The sequence below is a fragment of the Homo sapiens genome, chromosome X (assembly GCF_000001405.40).
Source record: "Homo sapiens chromosome X, GRCh38.p14 Primary Assembly".
NCBI classification, from domain to species: Eukaryota; Metazoa; Chordata; class Mammalia; order Primates; family Hominidae; genus Homo; species Homo sapiens.
In genome coordinates this window covers 11,352,664-11,367,707 of record NC_000023.11, presented here as the reverse complement: position 1 = coordinate 11,367,707, position 15,044 = coordinate 11,352,664, and the positions used below count along the sequence as shown (strand labels likewise).

Below are 15,044 nucleotides of genomic sequence, written 5' to 3'. Positions count from 1 at the left end.
TCACTTCCAGAAACTTAGCCCCATCAATGTTCTTATGATATGAGCTTAAGATCCAGAACAAATAACAATAATTGGGAAATTTTAAATGACCATATTATTTATATATAATACTTTGTGAGGTTAAAACAAGCTCACTTAAAACTTTAAATATCCTTTGTTATAGCTAGTTCCACATGAAAGTACTGGGTCAATTTGTCCTTGTAGTCAAAGATTCATCACAAATGAAATTCAAGTATGGGCAGCACAGGCCCCATTTCCTCCCATCTCAGAGGCAAAGGCATCTGTCATCCTGTCCAAATCCCATGCAGTTCTGCTTCATCAGGGTCACTCCAGATAGCATCATGTTAACTCTTCCCCAGCTTCAACTTCTACACTCTCAGTCATCTTGTCATGTCAAAACCCTTCCTTGAGCAAACCTCTTCTGAAAGCCATCTCTTTTTTGCAACTAAATCTCTCATAAGAATAGTTTACACTCAAAGCTAGTTCACATGCTCATCTATCTACTCCTGAACTCTCTGCTATCTGGCTTCTACCCCATCATTCCTTTGAGTCTTCTGTCTTCAGGGTTATAGGCAACTTTGCTGCGAATTCAGGAGAGTGAGTCCTTATTGCATGTTACCTCTGGAACCTCTGAATCCAGCTGTTTTTTCCTGACAACGTCTTTTCTTCCCTTTTCCATAACTCTATTATTTCTCCTCCTACCTCTGGGAGTAATATGTCTTGCTCTCCTTTGAAGGCATGTTATTCCTCACCTGCTCCTTAAACATACTTCCATCTTAGGCCTCTTCTCCTCTCACTGTAGACACATTTCTTTCACCCTTTTATCAATTCTGTGGCTTAGGCTACTACTTTGTTTTATGTTCTTCCATGTTGCAAGGAACAGAGACACACTTGGTTATTTCAGGTAGGAGATATCCATTGTAAAGTTACACAGGAAAGAACTTAAAAGGGGAAAAACATCTTAGCCCTTGTGAAAACTGAACACCACCCCATGCAAGACTCAAAGGAAACTCATCCCTGTGCAAAGTATGACTCTAGTAACATTCGACATTTACCAGGCTGTAGACTTGATGCTAACTAGCTTTCTCTCTTTCTCCCCACCTCCCTCACTTACCCACGTCGCTCTAGTCTACTCTCAAATACCTTTCGTTGACTTTTCTTCTCTTTCCCTCATGGCTTCTGCTCCTTCATGACATCTGATGTCTCTTGGTTTCTGCTATCTCTCTATCTACCCATAATTTCTTGATAGATACAATTTATTCTATAACTTAAAACATTGCAATAATTTTTATATTTGCTTTCCTTCTGCTTTCAATGCCTTCTGGAACTAGGTGGAATCTGAATGTATGTATGTATAAACGAATGAATGAAATATTGAATCAGATCTACTAACTTTGTCTTTGTATCCTCACTGGCTGCCCATGATGTCATAGTTGCCAGTTAATGAGTACTATATAACTGCCATTATGCCACTTACACATTTCTTCAACCTTCACACATTCTTAAGAAGAGATGGTTTTATGGACTGAATGTTTGCGTCCCACCAAAATTCCTATGTTGAAGCCTAGCCCTACAGCCAGTGTGATGCTATTTGCAGGTAGGGCCTTTGGGGAGTGATTAGGTTTAGCTGAATTCATGAGAGTGGGGCTCCCATGATGGGATTAGTGCCCTTATAAGAAGAGGAAGAGACCAGACCTTGCTCTTTCCCTGCCATGTGAGAACACAGTGAGAAGGTGGCTGTCTGCAAGCCAGGAGGAGATCCCTCATCAGAACTGAACTCTGCTGGCACCATGATCTCAGATGTCCAGCCTCCAGAACTGTGAAAAGCAAATGATATTTTGTTTTGGCAGCCAAGGCTGACTAAAACCAGTGGTATTCCTCTCCCATTTTTTAATGTATAAAAAACTATGGCTCTCACAGATGAAATTGCTTTCCTTAGATCACAATGCAAGTGGTAAGGCCAGGAATTGGAACCCCAATACCTGAATTATTTTATGGTTTTCTGCATTCATTTTATAAAACAATAAGCCAAAAGATAAATGAACAATTATTTTTTAATGAACGTGAATATGACGTATTTAATGAATTTTATCTTTTTGTTCTGCTTTTCTATTTTGGTCTACATGACAATAACACATCACTATAGGCATATACGTTACTTAATATTGCTAAGGCATTAATCAAGATATATTTTGATAATAGTGATTAAAATAAGAATTGATTGATCTTCTATGTCTCTAGAATTTTTAGCTTGTGAAAATACAAACCAAGAGGGAGAAATGACTGTCTTTAAATTTGTAAGGCCTACTGGATAGGTCGAATGAATTTGAAGACATTTGTCTGCAAGTAACAGAAGACTCCCCCTCCATTGGAAATAAACAGTAATGAAATTTCCATCTAAGATGACAAGAAGTCCAGCATGGCCTACGATCTGGGTACCATACAGAATGTCAGGATGTTGGGTCCTTCTCTCTGCAGGCTCTGTCCTGCTCTGTGTATTGTTGGCTTTGCTCTCAGGCTGGTACCAAGATGGCTGCATCAGTTTCAGACATCACATTGAGATGTGACACTGATCAGAGGGAGAAGTACAGTTTATCTCTTTTTGTTTCTCTTTCATAGCAGGAGACTTTCCCGGAAGCTTCATATTTCATAGGCGGGAATTGGGCCACATGCTGTGACAATGACTACTAGTTGTCTCCCCTTCTCCTTGCATTTCCCCCACCTTCCTTTCACTACCTCCTGTATAGCTAACTGTCATCATGTGACTAAGTCCCCTGCAGTAAGGGCTTCCTGTTGGCTGAAGTTGTCCAGGGCTCCTAGCAGCAGTGCCGGACCTGAGACAGCACAGCAAAATGGCAGAAAAGTAAGCTAGTTGAGAGCCTCATCCCTGATGCATCTATCTACTCCTGAACAGGGTGCCCCCTGTTGCCTAACACCTGTCTTCTTTTCTCCAGTATATAAAATATAATTCCCCAGGGAATTATATTTGCATCTTATTTAAGACCACTGTTATTTTTATTTCTTGCTCTTTTTTGTAGTTATGCAACCAAACTTAATCTGATATGCATTTCCCTTCTTAAAACATTCCTGGCAAATGGAATAGTGTAACCACAAGGGACCAAACATAATGAGGATCTATCTTTGGAGCCGGGATGGGTCATCTACCCTTGGTCACGTGGCGGAAGGTTGAATAGCCAAATAACATTAGACCTCTCTTTGGAAGAAGGAGGGAAGGGGAAATCACTGTTGGGTAGGCAACTAACTGAGGCTGCTAATAAAGTTAATTAAGTTTTCCAAGGTCACATGGCTAATTATTGGTGGAAAAGTAATTTCTTTTTTTTTTTTTTTAACATTTTTAGTTTCAAAGGTACATGTGCAGGTTTGTTATATAGGTAAATTGCATGTTGTGGGGCTGTGGTGTAGAGATTATTTCATCAACCATGTAGTAAACATAGTACTCAATAGGTAGTTTTTCGATCCTCACTCTCCTCCCACCCTCCACCCTCAAGTAGGCCCTGGTGTCTGTTGTTCCCTTCTTTGTATCCATGTGTACTAAATGTTTAACTCCCACTTACAAGTGAGAACATGCAGTATATGGTTTTCTGTTCCTATGTTCCTCCACTTATGATAATGGCCTCTAGTTCCATCCGTGTTGCTGCAAAGAATGTGATCTTGTTCCTTTTTATGGCTGCATAGTATTCCATGGAATATATGTACCACATTTTCTTTATCCAGTCTACTGTTGATGTGCATTTAGGTTGATTCCATGTCTTTGGAATATTATGGATAGTGCTGTGATAAACATACATGTGCATGTGTCTTTATGATAGAACAATTTATATTCCTTTGAGTATATACCCAATAATGGGATTGTTGGGCTGAATGGTAGTTCTGTTTTAAATGCTTTGAGAAATTGCCAATCTGCTTTTTACAGTGGCTGAATTAATTTACATTCAGAAAAGTAATTTCGACTTAGGTTGTCTAAAAGCAAGTTCAGTGGACTTCTGTCTATAAGATAAGCTTAGTCAATGATTTGTCATTGATATTATAACAGAAATTCATACACAGCTGGGAGATGACACCTAGCTGTTAAACATTTATTGCTTCATCAATTCCCTCTTACTAAGATACAAATGTGAGCAGTTACCTCTACATTGCTGAGAATCATATGCATACAGGTCAATGTTATACTCATATGGAAAGAAGCAGACCGCGCAGACCACCTCAAAGTTATATATTTGGCCATGGGCAATAAGGTGAGAAAAATCTGCTTTGCTAATGTTGTTGGCCTGAGCTAAATATTGAAATAGCATCCAGTTACTCAGCATGTGAACCAGGCAGTGGGGAGTCACGCAAACTGGGACTGTTTTGTGTGGTGGAACAGAGGTGATCCAAATGTGTGTTTGTGTGCTTTTTAGAGTTTGAGGCCAATTTAAAAAATAGTCTGCACTGCACCATGCACGTGGGTTTCTTTGTCAACACCATCTGGGTGCTGACTCTAGAAGTTTCACTTCCCTTAGCATACTGTGGCTCCATTAGGAGATGGGGCACAGCACTTTGATTTCAAAGGTGGTTGGCCTCATTAGCTATTTGTGGAACTTAGTAACCAGCAGAAATGATGCTGTTGGAAAAATCCTCTACCTTAACTTTAATTCATATGGTTTTATTTTTTTTCTTCTGCTTTTGAGGGGCTTTCAAATGAAGTATCAGAAGGAAACAGTGCTTTTTATATGCGCATGTGTGTAGTTTTTTTCTTAGTCAACTGAAAAGATAGAAAAAACATTCTGTGTTTGTGGACAGTATTCATATAAAATTCAAAGGCAAATTTTATCTATGTGACCGATAAACAAATTACTAATGCCTGTTAATCCCAGTGAATTTTACAAAATGATTTGACTGGTGCCGAAGGAGGCAGGAGAAAGACAGCAAATCTGAACTCTATAAAATCCCTCAAGGAGTACCTTCTTAGAAGACAAGGGAGGAAATACTTTTTTTCAAATGGGAAGCAAATCACAATATAGAATTACAGTGTTTATTATTATTATTATTATTATTATACTTTAAGTTTTAGGGTACATATGCACAATGTGCAGGTTAGTTACATATGTATACATGTGCCATGCTGGTGTGCTGCACCCATTAACTCGTCATTTAGCATTAGGTATATCTCCTAATGCTAACCCTCCCCCCTTCCGCCACCCCACAACAGTCCCCAGAGTGTGATGTTCCCCTTCCTGTGTCCATGTGTTTTCGTTGTTCAGTTCCCATCTATGAGTGAGAACTTGCGGTGTTTGGTTTTTTGTTCTTGCGATAGTTTACTGAGAATGATGATTTCCAATTTCATCCATGTCCCTACAAAGGACATGAACTCATCATTTTTTATGGCTGCATAGTATTCCATGGTGTATATGTGCCACATTTTCTTAATCCAGTCTATCCTTGTTGGACATTTGGGTTGGTTCCAAGACTTTGCTATTGTGAATAGTGCTGCAATAAACATACGTGTGCATGTGTCTTTATAACAGCATGATTTATAGTCCTTTGGGTATATACCCAGTAATGGGATGGCTGGGTCAAATGGTGTTTCTAGTTCTAGATCCCTGAGGAATCGCCACACTGACTTCCACAAGGGTTGAACTAGTTTGCAGTCCCACCAACAGTGTAAAAGTGTTCCTATTTCTCCACATCCTCTCCAGCACCTGTTGTTTCCTGACTTTTTAATGATTGCCATTGTAACTGGTGTGAGATGGTATCTCATTGTGGTTTTGATTTGCATTTCTCTGATGGCCAGTGATGATGAGCATTTTGTCGTGTGTCTTTTGGCTGCATAAATGTCTTCTTTTGAGAAGTGTCTGTTCATATCCTTCGCCCACTTTTTGATGGGGTTGGTCGTTTTTTTCTTGTAAATTTGTTTGTGTTCATTGTAGATTCTGGATATTAGCCCTTTGTGAGATGAGTAGGTTGCAAAAATTTTCTCCTATTTTGTAGGTTGCCTATTCACTCTGATGGTAGTTTCTTTTGCTGTGCAGAAGCTCTTTAGTTTAATTAGATCCCATTTGTCAATTTTGGCTTTTGTTGCCATTGCTTTTGGTGTTTTAGACATGAAGTCCTTGCCCATGCCTATGTCCTGAATGGTATTGCCTAGGTTTTCTTCTAGGGTTTTTATGGTTTTAGGTCTAACATTTAAGTCTTTAATCCATCTTGAATTAATTTTTGTATAAGGTGTAAGGAAGGGATGCAGTTTCAGCTTTCTACATATGGCTAGCCAGTTTTCCCAGCACCATTTATTAAATAGGGACTCCTTTCCCCATTGCTTGTTTTTCTCAGGTTTGTCAAAGATCAGATAGTTGTAGATATGCGGCGTTATTTCTGAGGGCTCTGTTCTATTCCATTGATCTATATCTCTGTTTTGGTACCAGTACCATGCTGTTTTGGTTACTGTAGCCTTGTAGTATAGTTTGAAGTCAGGTAGCATGATGCCTCCAGCTTTGTTCTTTTGGCTTAGGATTGACTTGGCGATGCGGGCTCTTTTTTGGTTCCATATGAACTTTAAAGTAGTTTTTTCCAATTCTGTGAAGAAAGTCATTGGTAGCTTGATGGGGATGGCATTGAATCTATAAATTACCTTGGGCAGTATGGCCATTTTCACGGTATTGATTCTTCCTACCCATGAGCATGGAATGTTCTTCCATTTCTTTGTATCCTCTTTTATTTCATTGAGCAGTGGTTTGTAGTTCTCCTTGAAGAGGTCCTCCACGTCCCTTGTAAGTTGGATTCCTAAGTATTTTATTCTCTTTGAAGCAGTTGTGAATGGGAGTTCACTCATGATTTGGCTCTCTCTCTGTTATTGGTGTATAAGAATGCTTGTGATTTTTGTACATTCATTTTGTATCCTGAGACTTTGCTGAGGTTGCTTATCAGCTTAAGGAGATTTTGGGCTGAGACAATGGGGTTTTCTAGATATACAATCGTGTCGTCTGCAAACAGGGACAATTTGACTTCCTCTTTTCCTAATTGAATACCCTTTATTTCCTTCTCCTGCCTAATTGCCCTGGCCAGAACTTCCAACACTATGTTGAATAGGAGTGGTGAGAGAGGGCATCCCTGTCTTGTGCCAGTTTTCAAAGGGAATGCTTCCAGTTTTTGCCCATTTAGTATGATATTGGCTGTGGGTTTGTCATAGATAGCTCTTATTATTTTGAGATACGTCCCATCAATACCTAATTTATTGAGAGTTTTTGGCATGAGGGGTTGTTGAATTTTGTCAAAGGCCTTTTCTGCATCTATTGAGATAATCATGTGGTTTTTGTCTTTGGTTCTGTTTATATGCTGGATTACATTTATTGATTTGCATATATTGAACCAGCCTTGCATCCCAGGAATGAAGCCCACTTGATCATGGTGGATAAGCTTTTTGATGTGCTGCTAGATTCGGTTTGCCAGTATTTTATTGAGGATTTTTGCATCAATGTTCATCAGGGATATTGGTCTAAAATTCTCTTTGTTGGTTGTGTCTCTGCCCGGCTTTGGTATCAGGATGATGCTGGCCTCATAAAATGAGTTAGGGAGGATTCCCTCTTTTTGTATTGATTGGAATAGTTTCAGAAGGAATGGTACTGGTTCCTCCTTGTACCTCTGGTAGAATTCGGCTGTGAATCCATCTGGTCCTGGACTCTTTTTGGTTGGTAAGCTATTGATTATTGCCACAATTTCAGAGCCTGTTATTGGTCTATTCAGAGATTCAACTTCTTCCTGGTTTAGTCTTGGGAGGGTGTATGTGTTGAGGAATTTATCGATTTCTTCTAGATTTTCCAGTTTATTTGCGTAGATGTGTTTGTAGTATTCTCTGATGGTAGTTTGTATTTCTGTGGGATCGGTGGTGATATCCCCTTTATCATTTTTTATTGCGTCTATTTGATTCTTCTCTCTTTTTTTCTTTATTAGTCTTGCTAGCGGTCTATCAATTTTGTTGATCCTTTCGAAAAACCAGCTCCTGGATTCATTAATTTTTTGAAGGGTTTTTTGTGTCTCTATTTCCTTCAGTTCTGCTCTGATTTTAGTTATTTCTTGCCTTCTGCTAGCTTTTGAATGTGTTTGCTCTGGCTTAATAATGCTTGTGCAAAGATGATTAGGAATTTTGAATACATTGGAATATGGTGATAGGAGGTTTGGTACTGATACACATTTTTAGCAAGCCTTTTATTATAGGCTAAATAAGATTTAGAAGTTGTATTGATAATACATATGAGCAAGACTGTTTGGTTACCTTTAATCTTCCTTTAAGTGCCACTTACAGAATTAATTTGTTTATTAAACATAATGTCCTCTTATTATCTAACAAAGTTTCTTATCCTGAAAATCTGAATAATTGTGTGTTCCTGAATATAAAAATGTTTACATGGAAAAACTTGTTTGTTTTTGGTGTCACTAATTCAGATTGATCCGTTTGTCTCATATAAGATGGGTTTGGCACTACCAGATTTTACAGTGAGCAGAAAATGTTTCTGTACAGATTCATACCATCAGCTCTCAGAGGACTTGACATTCACACAAGGAAGAAATTATTTGTAATACCTAGTACCTGAGGTGTTTGCTTTATAAGGAGATGCCATAACAGATAATATTATAACAAAGAGTTATTAATGAATGGGGAATTTACCCATTTTTTTACATACAGAATTCTTCTAAATCAAGCTGAATTTATTTTTAAGGAGATAAGTGCTTAGGATTTAACTTTCTTTAGGACTTTGCATTAAAATGTTTCTAGACATGGGTGGAGGACCTTTATGAAGATAAAATGGAATAAAATATACCAAACCAATTTTTCTATTATAAAAAGGCAGGAAGTCACTAAATCATAAAAGAATTTACAGAAGAATTGAGACCACTCATAGCTACCTGAGGAAAACAATTAAGATATAGTTAAGGCCGGGCACGGTGGCTCACGCCTGTAATCCCAGCACTTTGGGTGGCCAAGGTGGACGGATCACCTGAAGTTGGGAGTTCGAGACTGTCCTGACCAACATGGAGAAACCCCACCTCTACTAAAAAATACAAAAAATTAGCTGGGTGTGGTGGCGTATGCCTGTAATCCCAGCTACTCGGGAGGCTGAGGCAGGAGAATCACTTGAACCCAGGAGGCAGAGGTAGCGGTGAGCTGAGATCACGCCATCGCATTCCAGCCTAGGCAACAAGAGTAAAACTCTGTCAAAAAAAAAAAAAGAAAGAAAGAAAGAAAGAAAGAAAGAAAGAAAGAAAGAAAGAAAGAAAGAAAGATACAGTTAAAACGTAGAACTACCATATGACGCAGAAACTCCACTCTTGGTTATCTACCTAAGAGAAATGAACATATATGTCTACATGGAAACATGTACATGAATGTTCAGAGCAGTGTTATTTATAATAGCTAAGAATTGAAAACAATCCAAATGTTCATCAACAAATAAACAAATGTGATATATCAATACAGAAGAATATATTTAGCCACAAAAGGGATGATTCCTGCGACAACACATGCAAACCTCGAAAATGTTATGCTAAGTAAAGAATCCAGACCCAAAAGGCTACATATTGTATGACTGGATATATATGAAATGTCCAGAACAGGCAAATCCACAGAGGCAGAAAGTAGATTCATGGTTGCTAGGGGTTGAGGGAGAGGGATGTGAGGAGTAACTGTTAATGGGTATGGATTTCTTTTTAAGGTGATGAAAATGCTCCAAAGTTGATTGTGGTAATGGTTGCATGACTCTGAATATACTAAAACTTACTGGATTGTACACTTTAAAGTGGTAAATTTTATAGTATGTGAATTATATCTCAATTTTAAAGAAAGATATAATTAAGACTCAAGTTCGAGAAAAAGCAGACCTGACTAGTAGTTCTAGCTTTTCTATCCACACAACAGATATTTATTAAGTAAATCGCTATATCCCTAGTGTACTGCTGTTCATGACTTGTAGGATACCCAAGATAATTTCTGGGTTTTAAAAGACTTATTAGCATGGGGGTGATGTCATCTCTCACAAAGGCAGAATCTTTGCAGCTGGCCAGAGAGACCCCATATCCAAAAAGTAATGCAGCTTTGGGGGAAGAAAGGAGAAAAAAGTACTACATCTGTTTGAATACAATGGATAGAGTTAGGAGTCTGATTAACTGACCCAAACACATAAAATTTGGAGAACAATAAAGCCATGAGCCAAATCATAAGAGTGTAGGATGTAAGTTTCCCTAACCCCATCCCTCATCTAACTTAAAAAGAGAAAACATTTTCCATCAACTGAGTGGGAAAAAAGCCAGGAATCTCCATGAATCAGGACCCCCTGGATTTCTTCCATCCTCATTGCTTTGGAAGTGATTAAGTCCAATGATGAGCCAGTGTCTATAAAGAATTATGCTTTGTGTATGAGCCTGTCATTTTGAAATTATATTATAAAAGGTAAATAAAGGAAAATGACTTCCCAATTCAATGCAGTTTGGGGTCGGTCCATAAGCACAATACCATTGTAATTAAAATCTAAAATGAAATACTCAGAGACAACAGGATCAAAAGCCGTGGCATTTCAAATTGACCTGAACTATCACTTACTGGCAGGTAATATGGCTGTGATGAAATTCCTCAGCAAGAAAAGGTTTCAATGGATTAAGGAGAGGTACAGGCTCGGGTAGTATTATGTGTGTAGCCAACATAGCAACAAGGAGGTAAAGAGGATATTTGAAAATGCACTCCCTCCATTAATTATGCTCTACAATAATATTCTAACCTTGCTTTAACACTGTAGCATCATTTTCCTCATTTCTGGGTCCAGGCAATATGGATATTTTGTGTTAAATATGAAATAAATTCTCAATTTTCTTTAGTATAATTTAATACATAAATGGATGTAATTCTTCTAGAAAGTTTTGTTAGATATTAAGGTACATATATCAAAACATAATGTATGCTATATATTTTATATTATATCAAAATATGTTAAATCACTATAGTGTTGAAGCACAGTCTAACAATATTCTTTAATGTCCCATCAGACATTAAAAAGTATATTTTAAAAAGACAAATTTTAAAAATTAACAGTGATCAAGAGATTTAAGAAAAAAACCCACATTGACATACTACTGTGATATTTTTCTCAAAAAAACAGCAAAAATGTTTATATCACCTTGATGTCAAAGTACTTCAACTTAGGTTGAGGTCATATATCCTAGTGAAAGTAGTCAAGGAAATAGTCATCTTGCCAAACAAGTTTCTTTTTGTTTTTGTTTTGTTTGTGTGTTTGTTATTTTGCTTTAAGTTCTGGGATACATGTGCAGAATGTGCAGGTTTGTTACATAGGTACACATGTGCCATGGTGGTTTGCTGCATCTACCAACCTGTCATCTAGGTTTTAAGCCCCACGTGCATTAGGTATTTGTCCTAATGCTCTCCCTCCCCTTGTCCCCCACCCCCAACAGGCCCCGGTGTGTGATGTTCCCCTCCCTGTGTCCATGTGTTCTCTTTGTTCAACTCCCACTTATGAGTGAGAACATGTGGTGTGTCAAACTAGTTTCTACTGTTGACTAATCATTCCTCATTCTTTAGCCTGAACTCCCTGGAGCAAAAGTAGAAAGTTAATAAAGCTGCTGCCTAGTGCCTAAGGTGTCATGAGGACTGTGAAAAAGAATAAAACATCATTCCAGCATGGGGAGGGAATGGATTAGACCATAGGGCACTTGGGCAGCTATCTTTGACTCAGTTGTCATTAGAATAGGACTAGCATTGAGTAAAATTCCAAAGTTTGGTTTGAGCCTTTATTAATTAATTAGTATGAATTCATTTATCATGGGAACTATGCTACCTGCTACACTCTTCAGCTACCCAAAGCCAGCCGTAAACTGCTCTTTCCCCATTTCCAGCCATCCCCTTCTCCTCTAACGAAGCCCTCCCTCTTCCTCATATCACTCATTGACACTTTACACAGGAGAACTGAATTACAGTTGTGGCACCCTAACGGTCATATGTTTGGCCACTCACCCAAAACAGGATTCCTTTTTACCACATTCAGAATGGATAATCAGATGGTTATCTGCATGAACCTTTAAGTATTAAGAATCCCCTTACCCTTAAGTCACTTATCCTTGGGTGAATGTTTTCTTTAGATATAGTCTCCTTGAAGGAGGCCCAGGCCTACTTCCTGAAATTCTCATTCTGTCATTTGAAATCTGCTCTCTTGAAAGATAGGCCAGATCTACTACTTCACCATTCAAATATTTTAGGTCAGCATTTCTATTACTGCACAGCCTTTGCAACTTCAGTCTCAACATCAGTTTCTTTCATGGATTTCAAAGGTTTGTCAAATGACCAAGCTTTCACCATCTTCCCCTCTCTAGCCTCACTACCCTCTTCAGAACTTGCTGGATGCCTCAATGTCTTTCAAAGGCGTATCCTCCAGACCAGAGTTTAGTGCTCCATGTGTGCTCTGGCTGGGGTGGAATCCATTGCGTGGTCACTTTTCTCTTTTCTTGAGTTGGATTCCAAAGTTTTTTTCATGCAGCTCAAGTTTCCATTGCCTGGTGTAATGCTTTTGTCAGACTTGGAGTTCATTTGAGCTTATCGGACAATTGTTGGCTCATTAGAAATCCTACCTCTTCCTTTTCACAGAATTAAACTCAAGTTGCCTCTCTCTGTCTAATTAATTGTTACAATTTAAATGCAAATTTCTAATTTCTTGAATTTTTAAAGTATCATCCTAACCTTTTAATCTAATTAAATTATTATATATAAATTACAATTGTATTTTAAAACCCCAATTCTCTCTTCTATTATATTATGCATTCTTCCTAGCTTAGTTGTCTAGTAAAAATTTGATAATCACTGCCCATGCTTTTATGTAAGTTTCTGATGAAGATGTTAAACAAGATGGGACCAGGTACCTGTGGTGGTAGATTTGCCTACTTTGTTAATTAGTACCTGATATGCATAGTTCTTCAGTCCATCTGTATGTACAGCTGTATTTGCTACATTTTACTGTCTGATCCACAAAGTTTCCGGAAAAATTTGTCCAGCATGCTGCTGAAATCAGTAATTTATCTAAATCTTTTGGAGTCAGATTCCATGGTAATGGAAGAAAAGTGGATATATGGTTTGTGGGGAAAATATGTGGAGACTGATGAACTCTCAGGGGATCCTTCTACATAGAGAACTATGTATTATTGTGTTTACCTTTCAGTTTATTCTATCATGGATGGTACTCCTGTCCTAACTAAAATTTTATAATCAGTAGTCCTCATTTCACAATAAATGATGACAATGATGGTGGTGATGATAGTGGTGGTGGTGATCATGGTTATAATGATTATGATGATGCTGATGAACATATATATATATATATATATATATATATAGAGAGAGAGAGAGAGAGAGAGAGAGAGAGAGAAAGAGAGAGAGAGAGAGAGAGAGAGAGAGCTCTTTCCATGTGCCAGGTACTACATAAGTGCTTTATACTTTTTATCTCATGTAATCATTGCAACAAACTTGTAGGCTAGGTGTTGCTCACTGACCCTAACTAGTTTAGACATTCACAACTGGTAGGTTCTCTTTGGCAGATAATGGAAACACTGGAGAAGTGACAAGTGGTAAAAGTTAACTGCTGTACTACCATGTCACTACCAGGTTGTATGAAAGAGCAAATTCTTCTACATAACCATTTAATAGCCAGCAGGCACCAAAAATCCAGCCTGTTTTGGTAGCTTGGAGATAATCAATTTATCTGTCTTTTTGGGCTTTCTAAGCATTTCTTTGCATGAAAAGTTTGCCTGATGTAGTCACAAACGATTGTTAGCTCATTAAAAATCCTAGGCAGTGACTTTTCTAGAATATGGCTTCACCCACTCTATGAGTACACCCTTTCCAATGATGAGGTCAAGGAAAATGATCAGAAAGTACAGAGAGGAGGCAGAACAATTAGGGAAGAGAGAACTAAAATAGAAGTGACGGGTCAGACAAAAATTCATTTGGGCTACTTGCCACATCTCTAATTTCAAACTCCTTATCCTAAATCGGGTTTGTTTAACTCTCAAGAAATAGGTGTGGCCCTTGGGACAAGTTGGCTCAGATTGACATACTACCATGCATACACACACACACACACACACACACACACACACACACACACACACACACTATAAGCAATACTGTTGCCTGAGACAGGTTGTTTCTGATTAAATAAGGACACCCTAGCAAATAGCTCAATACTAAAGACTTCTAAGCACTGGCCAAGTTCAGTAAATGTCCTGAAAGGAAGAAGTTTAGTTCTCAGGGTGACTTGAAATTAGAACTTTTTTTGCTGTTTTTGTTTTAAAATGCTTTGCCTGGGAGAGAGCACTATGTGGAATTAATATCCCCTTCTGTCTCCACAGCACCACACTAGTCAGCCTAACTTAGAGAGGGAAATTCTTTGTTGCCTTTTTTCCAAATACCTGTTAAAGAACTTTTGCTGGGGCTTACCTCTGTGTGTTGATCAAACTGAAAATTTTCCAAGGATCTGAGGCTTCTCTGGAGGGTAGGTTGGCATTAAGATTTCTTCAATAGTGCAAAGGATGTTGTTTTTCACAACCAACACAGATGTGCATGCTTACAATTTACCTTCAGTCTGGAAACATGTTAGTGAGGCATGAATTTCTAATTGGCTACCCACAGATGGATACGGTACTAAGTATGCTTGAACTGAATCATATAATTTGAAGGCATTTCTAAAGGTCAGTTGACATATATTGTATAAAAAAGAAAGATTATATATATGTGCATATGCATATATATGTAGTATATATACCTATACATAGTATGTATACATCAATCCAGGTGAACAGAGTGTATATGCATAATATATAGTCTACATATGTGTGTATCCATATATTATATTCCAACTAAAATATCATTCTCAGGCATTTAAGAAACCTGCTCTTACCTCATTTCAGATTCCCCATGGGTACTGGAATATTTTATCCTTGGGGATGATTAAGTAAGAGAGATACAACACCAAAGCTGACTTATCATTAGTGACTCAGTA

At 38.0% G+C, this 15,044-nt stretch overlaps 1 protein-coding gene across 4 annotated transcripts in view, besides 1 other annotated feature; it reads left to right on the top strand.

Moving 5' to 3' along the window:
- Window positions 1-15,044, top strand: part of ARHGAP6 (Rho GTPase activating protein 6) — a 528,377-nt gene that overhangs the window by 298,213 nt on the left and 215,120 nt on the right. The window lies entirely within an intron of this gene.
- Window positions 4,459-4,548: a silencer, noted in NCBI's record as "silent region_20658". NCBI's record gives its function as "represses an Ori minimal core promoter by ATAC-STARR-seq in GM12878 lymphoblastoid cells {active_cell/tissue: GM12878}" and the evidence as "EXISTENCE:reporter gene assay evidence [ECO:0000049][PMID:35858748]".